Here is a 13396-nt window from a genome sequence, read left to right as displayed (position 1 = left end):
CACCCTGTGCAGAGGACGCCTGAAATGAGGAGAGACTCCAGGGGGAGGCCCAGCATCTGCCAAGGCCAGAAGGTGGGAGATGGGAGATGGCCATCGGCCCATAACTCCCAGCAGGCAGCCCTGCAGGGTCCCAGCACAGGGCGGGGCTGCGGGTCGTTGCTACAGACCCACCAAGTGGCTGCCTTGCCTCTGTTCCCCAGCCAGGGGCTGTCAGCAACAGTAGCAGCCGCTCCCACCTCCTGCTCCCCCACAGGAATCAGTCATTGCTCGAAAAGGTCAGCACAAATGCACTGCGGCTCCAGGAGTTATTGATGCAGGATCATGAAATATCAGTGTAGGTCCACTTCCCCACAGTGGCAGGGTGCTGATGACGGTCACACTAATGGGCCTGGTTTGTCCAGGCCCAGCCCAAGGCTCAGCTGTGTCTGCCCCTGCCCCTGGGGAGATGGGTTGCAGTCACTGCAGGGCTAGGGTGCCCTGGACACCTGAACAGAGACTGCAATGATGGGAACATCCCACTTCTTATGGGAGCTTGGCCAACAGGTCCGGTGAGAGAAGTTGGTTCTGACTTCTGTGGGGCTTGGGAGTGATCTTTCAAGATTGATCCCCAAACCATGTCCCTCCCAGAGTCACCCCATTCTCCTGGGTGCAGGAGGGTCCACATGGCTGGGACTGTCTGCCAGGCATTGGGGCACCTGTGACTCAGTCCCCTGCCGTCCATACCTTGCTCCTACCCTGGAAGAGGGTTATTTAGTAGACGCTAGCTGCCCTTTCTGGGACCTATTCATGTGTCTAAATGGAGCCTATGAAGCCAGAGGTGGTGAGTGGCTGCCGGCCCAATAAGGAACAGCCCTTTCCCTGAGTAGTTTCCCAGGGCAAGTCACTTAGGAAAGATCACTTCAGACCTAGGACTGGGGAGGGAGGGTCAGCCTGTCTTGTGCATGTGCAGGCAGGAGTGGTGGGAACTCAAAGTTAGAAGACCTGCAGTCTGACGCCAGAGCCCTGGTGAGGGTACTGTGGCTGATGTGTGTGCAGGATGGGGGCGGGGAGAGGCAGGCATCGCCTGCAGATGCTAATGGAAGGGCCACAGCGGTAGTGGAATTATGGAATGTCATTAACCCTCAGCTGTGATCTTCAGAAAAGCCATTAACCCCCAGCCATGGAGGCAGACCTGCTTCCCCTGGGGACAGAGCCTTCATTCCATGGCCCCTCCACGCCCACCGCCTTATTTCCCCTGGGCCCACCCACATCCACCTCTGCCTGCTCTGCCCAGGCATAGTGGCCGCCATCTGGAGGAGTAGCTGCTGGGAGCAGATGCTGGGCTGGGGTCTCTAGGGATCTAGGACCCCTTGGCTCTGGGTCTGGGTCTGCCTCAACCTTGCTGTGTGGCCTTCAAGTCCCTTCTCCTCTTTGGGACCTACTTTTCCCATCATCCCATGGGGATATGCCTCAAACTCCTCACTTTGAAAGCCTGTTGTAAGGTTAAAGGAGACAATGGATGTTTTGCTATTAAGATGTAAGTTCAACTTCACTGAACTCAGCAAATGTTGACTCTGGGGGGCTTCTCCATTCCAGATGCCTGTGGGGTGCTGTAGAGCCAGACTCTGCCCCCGACCCTGTAGCCCACCATCATCCAGGAGGATAGGGGACAGACAGACAGACAGACAGACAGACACACACACACAAACATGTAGAGTCCTAAGCAAGCTGTGGTTGTGGGAGCTGGGGTGTGCGAGGAGAAAGCCATGACTTCTGACCCCATTCCTCAGGGAGGACCTGAAGGACAAGGGCAGTAGGTAAGGAAGAGGAAGGCCATTCCAGACTGCGAGTGCAGCAGAGGTGGAGGCTGGAGGTGGGAAGGGGCAGTGTGGGTGTGGAGAACAGCAAGCTGTCCAGTGGGGCTGCAGAATGCCTGTATGAGCTGGAGCCATAAGCCAGGAGGCTGGAGGGCACAGGGCCTGTGGACCTGGCTGAGAGTGGGATTTGCCTTGTCGTGATAGTAACAGGGGGCCCAGGGGAAGGGCTAGGCAGGGGATGCCCTGGCTGCTCCTCAGAGAATGGATGGCAGGGGCCTGAGGGGAGGCTAGCACTAGGGCAGGGTCTGTGGGGATGGAAGGGGCCCCAGGAGAGCTTGGGGACAGGCCAGCTGTGGGGCTGAGAGAGGAGGGGATGGTGGTGGGCACACATGGCTTCCCGGAGCTCCACTCCAGCTCTGTAGGAGACCAGAACAACAGGAGCAGCCTGTTGGGCAATGGGCCCCTTCCAAGGTGCCGGGGTAGGAGTAACTTACACGGCCCACCCTATGTTGGTTCCAGCAGGCTGGACCAGGTGAAGTCCGACAGGCCATCTACCCCTTAACTCACCAGTTCAGCCTTTGCCATCATCACCAGGCTCCACTGAGGGCCACCTAGCCCACCACCATGCCCCTCCTTGCCTCATCACCAGCAGATGGCCCTTGGGTTCGGGTGGCTCCGCCTCCATAACCTTCCACATTTATACCAGCAAGGCAGAGCCACACCCCTCCTTAGTGATTGGCTCAGGGAAGTGCATGTAACCCAATCCTGGCTAATCAGACAGGAAGGAGGTCTGCTGAGGGATGGCTGGGTAAGGTTGGTTTCCAGTTGCTCTTTAAAACCACCTACAAGAAGAGAGGGTGCTGCTGGGTGCGGTGCCTCAGGCCTGTAATTCCAGCACTTTGGGAGGCCAAGGTGGGCGTATCGCCAGAGGTCGGGAGTTCAAGATCAGCCTGGTTAACATGGTTGAACCCTATCTCTACTAAATATACAAAATTAGCTGGGCATGGTGGCGCTCGCCTGTAATCCCAGATACTCGGGAGGCTGAGGCAGGAGAATTGCTTGAACCCAGGAGGCAGAGGTTGCAGTGTGAGCCAGGATTGCGCCACTGCACTCCAGCCTGGGGGACAGAGACTTGGTCGCAAAAAAAAAAAGAGAGGCTGCCTCTTATCTGCTGGTCTTTCATTCTATTTGGATGAAGTGCCCCCATGAGCCGTTAGCCAGCTGAAGATGGTAATTCGGGGTGTTGGAAAGATCCTGAGACCTCGAGGATGCTTCTGAGCCTGAGCATCCACCAATTCTGGCAGCATTCTATGTCGTGAGTTGATGTGGTGTGTGACAATAAATATCCTTAGTATTTAAGCCGATCCAAGTTGGGGTTTCTGTTACTTGGAGCCAGATGTGAAAAGGGCAGTGGTGAGGCTGGCCTCAGAGGGGACACTGGCACTAGGGGAGGTACAGCTCTGTTAAGAGTGGAACCCATTTACCTTGGACCCTGGGCCTGGACACTTTGCAAAGATTATCCTTTGAGTTCTCCTAACAGATTGGAATCAATGAGTCTGGAGAAAGGAGCAGCTTACCAAAGGTCATGCAGCCAGTAAGTTACAGAGCTGGGGTCAAACCCAGGTCAAACAGTGCTTTTGCACAGTGACAGTTGGTGAGAAATCACAGCCCCCCAAGATGTCAGAGAGGGCAGGCCCTAAAATTACCAAGTCCAATCCCACCCCCTCAAGTGTAGAGATGAGGGGACTGACGCTCAAAGGGAACAGGGCAGGGGTCTGTGTGAAGACTGAGCTCACGCTGCTGACTGGTGCCCCTCCAGGTATGGCTCTGCCCGGGCAATCCCCACCCCTCCTTACCACAGCAGCCTGCTCCTGTTCTCTCACTGCTGCACCTGGGCACCTCTGTGCCAGCTGCCAGCAAATTCCCAACCTGGCCCAGCTGCCATGGGGTTGGGTGATGTTCAACAGGTGTCCTGCCATTGCTGGACCGGGTCCCACACATGCAAAAGGCACTGGGAACAAGTCTCTGTAGTGAGTGGCACCTCTCCTACCCAGACTAGTTAGGCAGCAAAGGCAGCCAGAGAAAGCCTGGGGGTGGGAGGGGGCACACTCATTAAAGCAGGCAGTGCCTCTTGCCCCTTGGGACAGCCTGCTGATTGGTTCTTAATTTTCTGGGCAAATGCAGGGCCATGTGTGAGGTAACTCTAGGGAAATCAGGCAAAGGATTGGTTTGGGTTTGAAGCCTCTGTCCCCAGGGTCCCCCTTTGTCCCACTCCTCCCCACCACCATCACTCTACCCCATGTCTGAGCCTTCTTCAAATGTCTTTGCCTTTAAATGAAGCCTGGGCTCCAAAGGGGTGTCTTGTTCTATTTTTGCTATGCCAGACATAAGCACTGGTGGGCAGACAATAGGAGGGACCTCCAAAAATCCCTCTGTCCCCCAAGGCCCCTAGGAATGTTGGGACCATCGTGTAGGGCAAGCTGGCAGTGAAGCGCAGATCATGAGAAGAGACCAATCTGGCTATTCCCCTGAACCCAGCCATGTTCTGTGCGTGCACCCGCCCCCAACCTCATACTCAAACACACAGCCCTCCTGTCTGCCCTGACATGGGTCATAGCCTGCCTGTCTCCACCTCACACTTGTGCTATTGCTGTGTCCAACCTGTACCAACCCTTCCTCTGTTAAAAATTCAAGACTGCCGGCTGAGTGCAGTGGCTCATGCCTGTAATTCCAGCACTTTGGGAGGCCGAGGTGGACAGGTCACAAGGTCAGGAGTTTGAGACCAGCCTGGCCAACATGGTGAAACTCCATCTCTACTGAAAATACAAAAATTAGCCGGGCATGGTGGCGGGTGCCAGTAATCCCAGCTACCTGGGAGGCTGAGGCAGGAGAATTGCTTGAACCTGGGAGGCGGAGGTTGCTAGTGAGCCAAGATGGTGCCACTGCACTCCAGCCTGGGCAACAAGAGCAAGACTCTGTCTCAAAAAAAAAAAAAAAAATTCAAGACTGCCTTCCCTAATCCAGGCTTTACATCCCTCTCCTCTGATTAAAAAAAATTTTTCGCTGGGCGCAGTGACTCATGCCTGTAATCCCAGCCTTTTGGGAGGCCAAAGCGGGTGGATCACCTGAGGTCAGGAGTTCGAGACCAGCCTGGCCGACATGGTGAAACCCTGTCTCTACTAAAAGGATAAAAATTAGCCAGGCATGGTGGCATGTGCCTATAAGCCCAGCTACTCGAGAGGCTGAGGCAGGAGAATTGCTTGAACCCGGGAGGCAGAGGTTGCAGTGAGCCAAGACTGCGCCACTGCACTCCAGCCTGGGAGACAAGAGCGAGGCTCTGTCTCAAAAAAAATTTTTTTACTGGGTTAAAATATACGTAACACAACATTCACCATTGTAGCCATTTTTAATGTACAGTTCGGTAATGTTAAATGCATTCATTTGTTCGTATTGTTGTGTAACCATCACCACTATCTATTTCCAGGACTTTTCATCACTTGAAACGGAAACTAGGTACTTATGACCTGTAACTCCCCATTCTTCCCTTTCCCCAGCCCCTGTAGCCACTGTTCTACATTCTGACTCTGAATTTTCCTATTCTAGGTATCCCATATAAGTGGAATCATATATTTGTCCTTTTGTATCTTCTCCTCTGATGTGATAGCCCTGACAGGCCCTCCCAGTTTGTTATTAGATTATACATTATCTTGTGTTGATGTTCAACTTTTTCACCCACGTGACTCCCATCTTCACCAGACCAAGAGTTCCTGGAGGGCAGTTTCTCTGCCGCACAGGCGAGCACAGCACTGGGTATGCCGTGGGATTCAGTCAACTCTTACTCGATAGTCAAGGGAACTGCTGACTGACTCACTGAGTGAGTGAACAGTGAATGTGTGGGGTAGTTACAGGAAGCTGGAACCACTGGGGAGGAGACATACCTGAGGGCATCCGTTCTGGCTGACGCGAGGCACGTCAAAGTTCATCATGGACGGGATAGGGAAGGACAGTGGGGTGATGGGCAGCCCCACAGAGGCCAGGTCCCTGTTAGCCTGGCTGACCCTGGGGAGGCAGGGAGACAGGGTCAGTGCTCTGGGCTCTGCACCTGAGCCTGGCAGCCCAGGGCCCCCCGCTTAGACTCTGGGTTGATGCAAGAGAAGGGAGTTGCAGGGATCCCGCCGAGTTCGGGCCTGGACCTCACGACAAGTGGGGACCACTGGGCTGGGCGTGCATCAATCATCTTCCTTCCTCCAACAAGCAAGGGGGCTTCATAAGTCATAAAAACTCAACAGGAGATACAGAGAAGTAGGGGAGTCATCTTGGGCCATCAGGGCCAGTTGGAAGTGACCAAGACAGACCCTGACTCCCAGGAGTCGGTGCTGTGGCAGAGAGCACACGTTCATAGGGGAATTTCCCACTGTGTGGCAAAGTATGAATCTCCTCTTGAGGACTGTGACTCCAACAGACTCAAAAGGAGGTCTAGGGGAGGAGGGGATGAGTTGTGGCTGGGACCAGGGAGACCTCCAGGATGAGGAGGGAGGAGACTCCGCCCGGCAGGGCTAAAGGCTGTGAAGTTCCAAGATGGCCTTTGGGGCCAACCACTGGCTGGAGCCTGTGGCCCTGAGCTAGAGTGGGAGGGGGAGTGGGGAGGTGGTGGGTGTGAGGCAGGGAGGCAGGTTGGAGGGGCTGAGGTTCCCTGAGCAGGGAATGAGGACCCCTCTTGTTGTCCTCCCCACACTCTCTAGCTGTTAGGCCTGGTATCGGCACTCATCCCCACCACCTGCCCTCCAGCTTGCTCTCAGGAGAGGACTGAGCTGCCCCTTTCCAGGGGCCTGGGCTCTCCCTGGGGAAAGAAAGGCATGGTCTGCTGCAGGAAGCTTACTGGGACCTCAGACCCAATGGAGAGGCTTGAAGGGCCTTAGGGGTAGAGGGGTTGCCGGAGGTCCTGGAATCAGCCCATGGCAGCAATGACAGCCTCACCCCCTCCTCTGCCCTCTGCTCTGCCCTCCTCACCCAGGTCCACCTGGGCCCCACTCACTTAAATTCCTTGTAGTTGGGAACGACCCGGGCAATCACCACTATGGGGTTGGGGTTGTTGGCCAGGGGCTCGTTGACTCCCCGGAGAAAGATCTGGAGAGGAGAGGAGAGGAGGCAGGTGAACACCATGTGGCCTTGGGACCTTCCAGAGACAGCCAGCCAGACTGCCTACCCTCTTTTTCCCCATCCGTGAGCTCATGGCTGCCTCCACACTTGACACCTGCTTCTCCCTGTTCCCTGCCTTACTCGGTTCTTGCTTTGCACCAGGCTGCCCTCCCTCAGGAAGCCTTCTCTGCCGAGCTGAGGCAACTGCTCCCGCTTTCTGTCCTGGGATTTACCAATGGATCTCTTACACTAGTTTCTTTGGGGAGAAAGGGTACGATGAGAGTTGGGTCCTGGGAAGGGAGGTTGTGTTCTAACCTCGGCCCCTCCACTGGCTCCTGGGGAGGGGTTGGGCTAGGGGTAGGGCTAGGTGTTCCAGCTCCTTGGTTTCTGTCAGTCAAATGAGGCTCCTCCCAGGGCTGTGAGGGGTCTCTGATTAGATCGTTTGTGAGAGAGCACTTTATAAACTGAAGACAGGAAGCCCAGGTCTGGTTTCTCCGACCATGCTGAACTTCCTGAGATCAGCGGCCACAGCCAGGCTCCCCTTGCCTCCCTCGTGCCCATCACCCTGGTGCCTGCTCCACTGCTCACCCTGGTGCCTGCTCTCCTGCCTTGCTGGTTTCCCCAGGAAGTACTGGTTTGGAACAGGATCATAGCATCCGCATCTCTGGGCTCCTCTTTCTTCATCAGATCCCGGTTGTCACTCCCCTGACCGCCCTTGGTTGTTCCCTCCTCAGTCCTCTGTCACCCCCTAAAGGCTTCCCTGCCTCCCAGTCCTGACTGCCCTCTCCTCTACTCCAGGCTTCTATTGGCGCAGCTTTCAGAGAGCCGAGCGGGGTCCCAGCAGGAGGTTACAAAGCAGGAGTGGACAGCGTCACCTTGCTCCAACCCTCACTGACCCCCTGCTCAGTCTGGGCCTGGGGGACACTGGAAGGCAGACAGGGGAGACAGGGAGTCTGTCCCCATGCGCCTCTGCTGCCAGCCTAAGAGGCCCTGATCTCCCGGACCCTGACCCTCACCCTGTATCCACCAATGGCTCCCACTCTCCCTCAGCCCTCACCCACCTCCCACTCGGCTCTCATTCCTCTTGCTCCTTCGATTCCTCTGCCTCCTCACTAGCCTCTCCACTTCTGTTCCTTTCCCTAATCCATCCTCTTTCCCAGGCAATTTGACACATGATGGCAAAAGTGCTCTTGTTAAAAATGAACTGGGTCACGTTATTCCCTGCCCGACACCCCACAAGCCCCTCTGCCGTGTCTCCCGACAGGCCCCCAGCCCCTGTCTTCTTGCTCCAGACTCTTTTACTCCTGCCACTTACCCCTCTTATTTCTGCCACAGGGTCTTTGCACATGCTGATCCCTCTACTCAGACTCCCTGCAGCTCCCACCAACCCATTGTGGCTGGCGAGGGCCCAGGAGTGAGGCTTGTTCTGGATCATTCTCCCTTTTCTCCCTCCGCACCCTCCTTTCAGGCTCCTCTTTCAATACCCATCTCAGCTGGTTTTCCCACCTCTAACCCCACACAGGTGTGAGCTGATGGGCACGTACAATAGTCCTTAGGGCCTCGCAGCTCTCACTGAGGGCTCTGGAGACTGAATCCCTTCATCACATTCAAAGGATTGAATCTCTGATGGTACATTTCACACTTTGGATGGGTCTGGGGTCTGGGGCTGAGGGATTTCACTGGAGGCTGGCAGGCCCTATTGCTCACAGGCTCCCCAGCAGGTGTAAGACTAAAAAGGGGGTGGTGGCAGCTAATTTGCACCTGTTCTGTGTGGACTCTGATCAGGTGTGAATGAGACAGCTGCCCAAGTACACCTGCTCATGACAGCCTGGGAAGTAGCAGAAGTTCCTGCTCCTGCCATGCGCTCACCATCAGGAGCAGGCAGCTGCTCTGTGGCCATACCTGTCGCACGGATGGAGAGGGCATCTGTGCTGGGGCAGGAGAGTGGGCAGGGTGCTGTGAGCCAGAGAAGGCCCCTACTCTACCGCTCTACCAGGCAAGTCAGAGGGCTGGGTGGGGTGGGGCAGCTCCACAGCAGCCCTAAAGTTCTGCCTGTGTCTTGGGGATGTGGCCTCCTCCCTGTGGGGTGCGGCCTGGGGACAGCAAGGCCAGGCTGTTGCCCCTCTTCCTTGTTCTGTGTGTGTGTGAATTGCTGGCTGTCCTCAGGAAAGGGCGTGATAGAAGGTGGCGGGGAGCAGAGGGCGCCTGTAGGTCTGATATGCTGGCATCAGAGGGGTGGCTGTAGGGGAGTAGAAATGTGGGTTAGGAGTTTTGGCTCCCATACCATACTCCCCTTGGGTCTCAGTGTCCCTGGCTGTGAAAGAAGGCAAAAGAATGCTTCCTTCCCTGCCAGGCCCACGGTGCTGGTGGGAAGTAGGGGGGTGGGAAGGATAGGAACAGATCAGCCATGTTTGGGTAGGTGGAAGCTCAGAGCTTGGGTCCTGTGGCTCCCACCCTGATCATACTCAGGCCATAGCTGAATTTGAATCTGTCACCCATGGGCAGTTTGAAAGTTGGGGGGAATGGGAGAGGGGCCAGGTCCCTGCATCATGTCTGCTTTGAGCATCAAGAGTTCCTCCCAAAGCTGCTAATTGGCCTAGGGGGTGGATGGTGATGGGTCAAGGGGCAGTGGCCAGGCCCAAGGTGGGCTCAGCCCTGTCCTGGCTAATGGAAGAGGCTCTGTAAACAGTTGCTGGATGAATAAATGAATGAATAAACTAAATACCTAATCGCCAGACCAGTCAAACCTCTTTAGACACAGTGCTGAAGGAAAGCTCAAGGAGGCCCTAAACTTTTGCTTGGGGGCCAAGGCACTATCCCAGGAGGGGAAGAATAGAGCAGGAAACTGCTGGGCTGTGGGCTCAGGGGGAGCACGGGGCTTCTCCCCTGCCCCTAGCATAAGATTCGGGGAGACAGGCTCTGGTCCCCACTGCAGCACAGAGACGGTACACCAGGAGCAGCAGTGTGGCTGAGCCCCTCCCCGCCACCTCCAAGACAGAGAGGGAAGGAGAAGAGGCTTGAGCATCTTCATCCTTGTCATCCCTGCCAAAGGGCTTGTCTTCACAACTCCTTTTGCTATTTTGGAAAGGCCTGGTTGCTTTTTCCATTCTTGACATCTCTGCTCCACACCCTCAGGTCAGCCAGAGGGGGCTAAGGGCAAGGCGTGGGGCCTGCTCAAAGCTTGGCCCTTTCCCACCCCCACCACCACCCCAGAGGGCCCCAGCCCTGGTACCTCCAGAGCCATGTGGTTGCAGCCGATGTAGCGGGGTATGAAGCTGCTCTTCCGAACGACTGTTGCGTACAACTGGGTCTTGGCAGTGGCTTCATCGGCTTTCCCAGACTCAGTGGGCTGGAGACAGGGTTGGGGCAGAAGACACAGAGGAAGGAGAGTGTCTAAGGGGCAGATCCTGGCCATAAATCCAGCCCTCTGCAGACAATCACTTGGCATTGCTCCGCTGGGGCTCCGAGCTGATAATTAAAGCTCATGGTCCCTGTGAGCCCTTCCAAGGAGATCAATATAATAAATCTTCCCTTTTCCATTTGAATATTTCATCACCCTCACAAGGACCACTGCCTGTCTGCTTTCCAGTAAAGATGTGATAACAAGGCCTGGGTTGTAAGTGAACAGACAGCCAGGGGGCCTGGGTGATGCCCCCAGAATTACAGCTCAAGTGCTGAGTCTCCCAGGGTGAGTAGCACATCTCTCTTTTACTTCCCTGCATGGCCCATCCTGAAGCCCTGGGATTGGGGTTCCTCATGGGGCCTAAGAGAAGGTAAAGCCCCCTGGTGCCATGATTGAAGAAATGCTTAGAAGAAAGTTCAGTGCTGGCCCGGAGGAGGGATGGGGGAGGGTAACTGACCAAACTGAGCACCTACTGTATGCCAGGAACCTTGCCTATCATTGCTTGAGATCCTCAAAACGACTGTGCCAGCTTTGCCAGTGAGGATGGAGGCCTGGGGACCAAGTGGCTTCCATGGGTATCCAGCTAGGAGGCAACAAACTTGGTCTAGGACCCCCGACAGTCTGGCTTCACATTGTTCTTTACTCTCAACCACTTTCAGGGTCTGGAATGCACAGTGGGGAGGGGAATGTGATGCTTCTGTTCATCTCTGGCTCACTACCTGGCACATAGTAGGTGCTTCATAAGTCCTTGAGCAATGAGAGAGTGAATTCTACCCCTTACCCTTCAGCACTAGGAGGGAGGACAGGCAGGGGTCTGGCCTGGGAGGCCCAACCTTGGAGTGAGGAGCCTCAGGCCCCTCAGTCCATGGCTTGGACCCAGTTGCTCACTCCAGGGGTGCATTCCAGGGAATGCTTTATTCCATGTACCCCCCAACTCTCCTGGGCCTTCTGGCCAAGGCAGCATGTGGAGGCAGCTCAGAAGGAACTGGCTTGGGAGACAGCATGACTTGGGCTCACCCTCAACTCTGCCGCTCACTTGCTCTGTGACCCAGGAGGAGGAGATTTTTCTCCCCAGGTCCCAGTCCCATGTCTGCAAAATGTAATTTACCTTGAGGATTAGAGAGGGGGTGTGAAATGTCTAGCACAGGGCGTGCAAGCAGCGGGTACTCGGTAAATATTGTGTTTCTTTGATTTTTAGATCCGCTCTTTTAACATTTTTGTAATCAAAATCTATCTTTAATTGGTATATTCATTTAATGTGGCAGTTGTCCTATAATAATCAGCTGTTTTTACAGAGATGAATTTGGAGAATTCCAAATTCTTGTAGACACCATTCCTGTGTATGTACCAGGAGCCATGTTTCCTGAGCCCCACATGGTCCTAGACTTGTCATGCTGTGGGTGGGTGTGGGATGCTCAGGGCTGCTCCGAGGGAATAGCTGGGGACATTCAAGGTGGTTCCCACCTGCTCTCCCGGCACTTCCCCAGGCCTCTGACTCACCTTCACCAGCTCAAAGTGGTAGGGGTGGAAGACACGCAGGTACTTGATGGGGATTTTGTAGGACAACAACTCCTGTTTCTTTCTGTTGTCCACCACCTTGAGGATCACATCTGGAAAGAGAAAAAATGAGCCCAGGTTTATTTTTAAATGGATCCCTTTCTCTCCCAGTAAGGAGAGACAGTGAGAGGTGAGAGACATTGTTGAGAGTAGGGAGCAGGGGCCACACTGAGGAATCAACATGCACACACATGTGTGGATCACCCCTGTGCACACAAACCCACAAGCACAGTCTGAGCCCCTGCACAGGGCAAAGCTCCATGCCGGCAGCTGTTAGGACCCCAACATGCAATTTTCTCCCATGGTCTAGAAACTCCCAGGTCAGAGATAGACACACACAGAACTGAGTCCAGTCCCCTGTGGCAACAGACACACATGTGCACACACTGAGATACACAGGCAAGCAGGCATAGCACCTCTTTCCAGGAATAAGACTCTTTCCCTTGGTCACAAACACTTATGCCAGCTCTTGAGGCAGGATGGGGAGAGATTATCTCACACATGTTGCAGGTGGGGAAACTGAATTTCAGTAAGAAAAAGTGATCTGCTCAAGGAAATCCTTTAATACAGCTATCAATAAAAGTCTACTACAAGTAAGGGAAAACTAGTCTAAATACTAAGAATAATGCACCACTTAGTAAACACCCTCCAAAGAGACTATATTTTCTCATAAAATGGCATGAATATTGGTATAAACTTTTTCTTTTGAGACAGCGTCTCACTTTGTCACCCAGGCTGGAGTGTGGTGGCATGATCTCAGCTCACTACAACCTCTGCCTTCCAGGTTCAAGAGAGTCTCCTGCCTCAGCCTCCCAAGTAGCTGGGATTACAGGTGCCCGCCACCACACCCAGCCAAGTTTTGTATTTTTAGTAGAGACAAGGTTTTGCCATGTTGGCCAGGCTGGCCTCAAACTTCTGACTTCAAGTGATCCACCCGCCTCAGACTCCCAAAGTGCTGGGATTACAGGCATGGGCCACCGCACCCGGCCGGTAAAAACTTTAAGAAGAACACCAATGTCCTATAAATAATCATGACAGTCCTGTTTAGTGAGCGGGACTGTCATGATTATTTAGTGAGTATCTACTATGTGCCAGGCATGTCTCAGCCATGATTCCAACAAATTCTCACCACAACCCCCCGGGTAGGTATCATCATCTCTGTTCTTAAAATATGAACAATGGAGCTCAGAGGGTTATATAACTTGATCAACATAACACATCTAGAAAGTAGATGATAGGAAGGGTTGAATTTGGTGACACTTGAGGCATCTTTATATTCTGGAAGTCTATGATTTCAGGAGGAAGAAGAGATGGGGAGGGAGAAAAGGAGGAGAAGGATAGAGGAGGGATGGAGAAAGAATGAGAGAGATGAGGTAAGAAAGGATACAAAACAGAGAACAGGAAAGGGAGGATGGGGCGGAGGGGTGTGCCTGAGGGAAACACTTGGGGAGACCCTTGCCCTCTGCTTCTCTTGAGACAAGGGGTTTCAGCACCAGGGACA

General features: G+C 54.3%; 1 protein-coding gene across 16 annotated transcripts in view, besides 2 other annotated features; it reads right to left on the bottom strand.

The window, feature by feature from the left end:
* Window positions 1-13396, bottom strand: part of CCDC33 (coiled-coil domain containing 33) — a 133474-nt gene that overhangs the window by 57847 nt on the left and 62231 nt on the right. For all 16 annotated transcript variants that reach the window (XR_001751401.2, XM_047433141.1, XM_011522085.4 and 13 more), the window contains 4 exons: window positions 11839-11948; window positions 10168-10284; window positions 6832-6923; window positions 5735-5855 (listed from right to left, as the gene is read on the bottom strand). Coding sequence is in view for 15 of the 16 variants with exons in the window: in XM_047433141.1 (XP_047289097.1) it covers window positions 5735-5855; window positions 6832-6923; window positions 10168-10284; window positions 11839-11948 (440 nt within the window). In the remaining variant the exon portion in view is untranslated. The remainder of the gene's footprint in view (window positions 1-5734; window positions 5856-6831; window positions 6924-10167; window positions 10285-11838; window positions 11949-13396) is intronic.
* Window positions 484-1208: an enhancer, noted in NCBI's record as "H3K4me1 hESC enhancer chr15:74569759-74570483 (GRCh37/hg19 assembly coordinates)". NCBI's record gives its function as "activates a minimal SCP1, AML or CMV promoter by ChIP-STARR-seq in primed H9 embryonic stem cells {active_cell/tissue: H9 hESC(primed)}" and the evidence as "EXISTENCE:reporter gene assay evidence [ECO:0000049][PMID:30033119]".
* Window positions 1209-1933: an enhancer, noted in NCBI's record as "H3K4me1 hESC enhancer chr15:74569034-74569758 (GRCh37/hg19 assembly coordinates)". NCBI's record gives its function as "activates a minimal SCP1, AML or CMV promoter by ChIP-STARR-seq in primed H9 embryonic stem cells {active_cell/tissue: H9 hESC(primed)}" and the evidence as "EXISTENCE:reporter gene assay evidence [ECO:0000049][PMID:30033119]".

Source organism: Homo sapiens, chromosome 15, assembly GCF_000001405.40.
Source record: "Homo sapiens chromosome 15, GRCh38.p14 Primary Assembly".
Taxonomy (NCBI): domain Eukaryota; kingdom Metazoa; phylum Chordata; class Mammalia; order Primates; family Hominidae; genus Homo; species Homo sapiens.
Note: the sequence above shows the minus strand (reverse complement) of the source record. Positions and strands in the feature narration are given on the sequence as shown.